Here is a 6,008-nt window from a genome sequence, read left to right as displayed (position 1 = left end):
TGATTATAATTTTCTGTTTCTATCAAGTGCGTATCCCTCTCTGTTGGAAACACATGGAGTGTAAGCTGAGTGGGTTATTATTTTAGCAATCATACTTTGCCAAAGATCTGGTCATTTTTTCCACTAAGGTATATGAGGGCACTATTCTTTTATTTTTTTGAGACAGGGTCTCACTCTCTCACTCAGGCTGGAGCACAGTGCCACGATCACAGTAGCCTTGATCTCCCAGGTTCAAGTGATACTCCCACCTCTGCCTCTCGAGTAGCTAGGACTACAGGCACATGTCACCATGCCCAGCTAAGTTTTTAAAATTTTTCTGTAGCAATGGGGTTCTCACTATGTTGCCCAGGCTGGTCTCGAACTGCTGGGCTCAAGCAATTCTCCCACCTCAGCCTCCCAAAGTGCTAGAATTATAGGCATGAGCCACTGTGCCCGGCCTTGGGTGCTACTCTCTCCTAGATTAGACATGTTCAAATACTGCATAATTGTCTTAATTTTTCAATGGTGGACTATAGGGTCTGCACTGTGGTTTATGATGATGGCACTACTGAGGAGTTAATGCCCAATTATCAATTAAAAGCAGGCAGTTGATTGGTATCCCATGGAGGAAAATGTTCATTAGGAACCTTTATTTCAAACACTGTTTCATATAGTATACAAAACCCAAACCAGACTCAAACGGTGAGAGGCTGAAGGACATGTAAGGGGTACCTAAACAATTTATTTTCCATCAGAGAATGAGCAAAGTATAAACAGCAAACAGCACAGCACTCTTTAATAAAGCTCTACACCCAGCCCTCTTACGTAGGTCCACTTTTAAAATGTTGTCTTTGCTTTCAATGACAAAATAGAGAGAATCCTCAGAAAAAAAAAATTTAAAATTGCACTTCCCTAATTTTACAAGTGTCTTTTGAAAATATATCTTTGGCTGGGCACGATAGCTCATGCCTGTAATCCCAGCACCTCGGAAGGCTGAGGTGGGAGGATCGCTTGAGCCCAGGGGTTTGAGACCAGCCTGGGCAATGTGGTGAGGCCCCGTCTCTACCAAAAAAGAAAATACAAAAATTAGCCAGCGTAATGGCGTGTGCCTGTAGTCCCAGGTACTTGGGAGGCTAAGGTGAGGATCACTTGAGCCCAGGAGGTTGAGGCTGCAGTGAGCCGGCAATCATGCTACTGCACAGCCCTGGGCGATAGAGTGAGACCTTGTCTAAAAAAAAAAAAAAAAAAAAAAAAGAAAAAGAAAGAAAGAAAAAGATAAAAATTATTTATTTTAAAAGTCCTAAAGGCCGGACGCGGTGGCTCACGCCTGTAATCCCAGAACTTTGGGAGGCCGAGGCGGGCAGATCACCTGACGTTGGGAGTTCGAGACCAGCCTAAGCAACATGGAGAAACCCCATCTCTACTAAAAATACAAAATTAGCCGGGCATGGTGGCACATGCCTGTAAATCCCAGCTACTTGGGATGCTGAGACAGGAGAATCACCTAAGCCCAGGAGGCGGAGGTTGTGGTGAGCTGAGATCGCGCCATTGCACTCCAGCTGGGCAACAAGAGCGAAACTCCGTCTCAAAAAAAGAAAAAAGTCCTTACAAAATTAGCCAAAATTTTGGTAACCAGTTTTCTGAAGTCCTATATAGTCCAGATTTTCATAATAATTGATTCTAGTCCTTTGATTTACAGTTTTGATCCTCTGCTCTGTAAAGCAGATCACAGTTTGATAATATATACAATCAAAACAAAACAGAAATTTTAAAAATCCTTTGATGTTTTTACACAAACTGTTAAGTATTGCACAGATTTCACATAAAGCAAGATCATCAGACAAGATAATGAAACAGTGGTGGGCACGAAAGAGATACTGAATACTTTAGCTAGAACAATATAGCTCTATCAGGCTGAGGATTATATACATTTGAATTTGAGTTCTGTACAAGTCTTAACTGCTTCAGGGATTGAACCTTTGGGGTGGATAGAAATGAACTTGTGACAATATGGCAAATATAATGCTTTTCATGAAAGTATTGTATAAAATATTCTTGGTCAGATTTACCACAAATATACACACCTACACCTGTAAAGTACGAGTTCAGATGATCCACTTTAGAGTATTAATAATGCATGCTGTACCTTTGAGGTAGATCATGGTATCTACATTTACAAAGAGTTACTAAGCACTCACCTGTGGAAGAAGATGATTCATGAAAAGAGTATTTTTCAGGATTAGACAATTCCTACACAAAGAAAAAGCTTTTTTTTTTTGAGATGGAGTCTCGCTCTGTCACCCAGGCTGGAGTGCAGTGATGCGATCTTGGCTCACTGCAGCCTCTACCTTCTGGGTTCAAGTGATTCTTGTGCCTCAGTCTCCCAAGTAGCTGGGATTATAGGTGCACACCACCATGCCCAGCTAATATTTGTATTTTTAGTAGAGACGGGGTCTCGCCATGTCGGCCAGGCTGGTCTTGAACTCCTGACCTCAGGTGATCCGCCTGCCTTGGCCTCCAAAAGTGCCGGGATTACAGGAATGAGCCACCACACTCGGCCCTCTTTTCAATAACCTAAGTACTATATATAACCAAGTGCCTAAGAGTTGAATGCTCAGTCCTATTTAAAAAAAAAAAAAAAAAAAAAAAAGCAAAACAGATGCTAGCCTCCAGAGGAAGGGAGTGTCTGATGAAATGTTGAAGGCAGGTGAACAATGAACACAGTAAAGGAACAACCCAAACCGTCGCCAGTTTTACATGTCCATCTGCTCACTAGGGGTCTGCTTTTCTTTCACCAAGAGTTCTTCAGGGTGATTTCATTTCTCACGATCTCACCCCTTCATGCTCAGAAACTCTTGTTTTGCCATTTCCAATTCTCCAGTCACACCTCAAACAAATGTCAATTCCTTTTCTTCCCTTAGGAAAACCTTTCTCTTTCCCCTATTTACTGATTTCTGTGGCTCTGACTTCCATGCCCTCAGTTACTGCTTCTGGACTGGAGCTTCAGCTGTCGGCAAGAATGTTGTTCCTCCCTTTACCCTTTCCCCACTTTATCCTCAGGTATCTGACCTAACAATGCTTCACCCACCCTATTTGCTTTCCACCTCACCTAATACCTTTCCCAAATCGAGTAGTTTGTTAGGTGCATGGGCTTTGGGGTGTGTTTTCATCCGGGCTCAACCACCTATCAGCTACGGATCTCTCTAAATTACTTACTCTTCTTGGCCTCAGCTTGGCCATCTGTAAAACAGAGATAATAATATAGCACCTACCTCATAATATTGTTCTAAGGTTCAGGTAAAACCATACATGTGAAATGCTCAACACACTTCTAGAGCATAGTATGTGCTCAGTAATTGTTAGCTGTATTACTGCTCAGCAGTCATAGATTGTTAGCAAAGTCATGAATTTGTACTGCTTCACAGTGAAAAAGAATTCTTAGCTTAACAACATCACTGACATGTAACACGGACACAACCATAAAACTTAGCTTTAAACTATGTTAATATAGTTTGGGAAGAAAACCCAGCTAAAAACCTTTGTGTTATAAAGTTTACATGCATTTCGTCATTTACTTTTTAAATACAACCCCATGTTGACATGTTTGACAAATGGCATTACGACTATTGCTGTTTCTTGGTTGGTTGCTCAGACGCTGACCTGCTTTTTCCTTACACAGGGGGATACACTGCATTTTTTTTATTTTTTTTTTATTTATTTATTTTTGAGACAGAGTCTTGCTCTGTGGCCCAGGCTGGAGTGCAGTGGTGCAATCGTGGCTCACTGCAAGCTCTGCCTCCCAGGTTCAAGTGATCCTCCTGCCTCAGTCTCCTGAGTAGCTGGGACTATAGGCGCATGCCACCACACCTGGCTAATTTTTGTATTTTTAGTAGAGACGGGTTTCACCATATTGGTCAGGCTGGTGTTGAGCTCCTGACCTTGTGATCCACCCACCTCTGCCTCCCAAAGTGCTGGGATTACAAGAGTGAGCCACTGCACCTGGCCTACACTGCATTTTTGACATCCTCTTAATTAAAAGCTCAGTGACTAATGTGGTATTTCTAAAATTATGCAACTTGCCATCTCTAACCACTGCTTTTTGGGGCTGTATCTATGTTCATTGAGTAGACTAGTTTTGGCTTGAATATTTTCTTAACTTCTGTACAGTTATTCAAAACATCTCTGTAGTTGTTCCACTTGTTAAAAGGGGCTGGCTGGTTCATTGCCTTCTTGACTGGGTCAGGGGTGGCGAGGGAAACATAACTGGAATCCTGGTTTTCCCCCCTCTTAACAGTTAAATCTATATTCAGGATTATTTTTTCATAAAGATTAGTTTTTTTTTTTTTTTTTTTTTTTTGCATACAGGGTCTTGCTCTGTCACCCAGGCTGGAGTGCAGTGGCAAAATCTTGGGTCACTGAAACCGCCACCTCCTAAGCTCAAGGGATCCTCCCACCTCAACCTCCCAAGTAGCTGAGACTACAGGCATGCACCACCATGCCTGGCTATTTTTTGTAGAGATGGGGTCTCACCATGTTGCCCAGTTTGGTGTGGAACTCCTGGGCTCAAGAGATCCGCCCACCTCAGCCTCCTAGCACTGGGATTACAGGCATGAGGCACCACACCCAACCTACTTTTTTTGATGGAAAGTAATCCAGCCTTTCTGGTTCTTTTCATTTATAGTCACTAATGTTGATTATCTTCTCCTCTGCTCTTCCATGAGTGTGGGTTGGTGATTATCAGAATATTTAAGGCTCTAAATGTCTTCTGGATAGTCTGTTTCTACATTGTCTTTTTCAAATCAAGCTTTATGAGACAATGGGATTGTCAACATGAAGTTTTGCTGACTTCTTACTGTATTAAATTTCTAACAAAAAAACACCATTACATCAGACAGAATGCATTTTTGATATACACCCCAAAGCTGCTTTTGCTCAATATTCCTATCTTGGTGTTTAGACACTTCTTTTCACACATCCCATTACTTCATCAGAGCTGAGCTTGCTGACTCTGAACCAATCAGAACAAACTCCAGAAACTCTTATTTCCTATAGAATTCTTGCCAAAAATGGTGCCCCAAAAAAGAATTTCTAAGGTAGACAGGGGGATGTGGGTACAAGAACAGAATACAAACTGTTTTGTTGATTGTAATTTATCAGCAAGTCCTGGGAACAGAAAGTTTAATAACAATGGACTTTCCTAAACACCTTAATTTTGACATACTATTGCAAAAATAATTTTTAAATTATCCTATCCATGAGGATTTATCCTTATGCCATGTGAACAGTAGACATGATTATGTATCCTTATGCTCTGGAGACAGTAATCACCTAAAAAATGTGAGTGAGGCAGGGTTTGACAGGTTGACTTAATGCTTAGAATATGCTATTTAAAGTGACTGTTACTATTTCTTTATTATAAAGCCATGCCTATTCAATTCAAATACATCAGGGCATTTCTCTGGGAGGCCAATAGTCTTCTTACTGTTTTAGGACTAAAAATATACAATGACTGTTTACTGAGCAGGTCTCAAATGTTCTGAAGTTTGGCAGAAAAAGAACTTCCTAGCATTCAATTTGTCCAAAAATTAAGATCAGCAACAGATTCTTATGCTCTGGGGCATATACTTCTCATTTTACTCCCTTCAAATAAAGCAAGTGGCCATGCTTGAACTACTCAAAAGCGTAGTTACTGAGAAAAGCACCAATATTGATGATCTCATGAAAAAAAAAAAACTAAAAAGCCACTTTATGTTGCAAAAGCTATGCTACTTACCCCCTCAAAGCAGCAGTCCCCAACAATATAAAGTCCTGAATTTAAGTCATGATGGGACTACAAGCAAAGTGACTCATTCTATACTCATTCTCTTAACAGTTCTTCACATTCCCACATGGAGTTCTGAATCTTGATTATGGTGGTGGTGATTACATGAAGCTACATGAGATAAAATTGCACAGAACCAAACACACACAAATACATGAAGTTACATTAGATAAAACTGCACAGAACCAAACACACACATACACATGAG

The sequence above is a fragment of the Homo sapiens genome, chromosome 14 (assembly GCF_000001405.40).
Source record: "Homo sapiens chromosome 14, GRCh38.p14 Primary Assembly".
Taxonomy (NCBI): Eukaryota; Metazoa; Chordata; class Mammalia; order Primates; family Hominidae; genus Homo; species Homo sapiens.
This window is presented reverse-complemented; position numbering follows the sequence as displayed.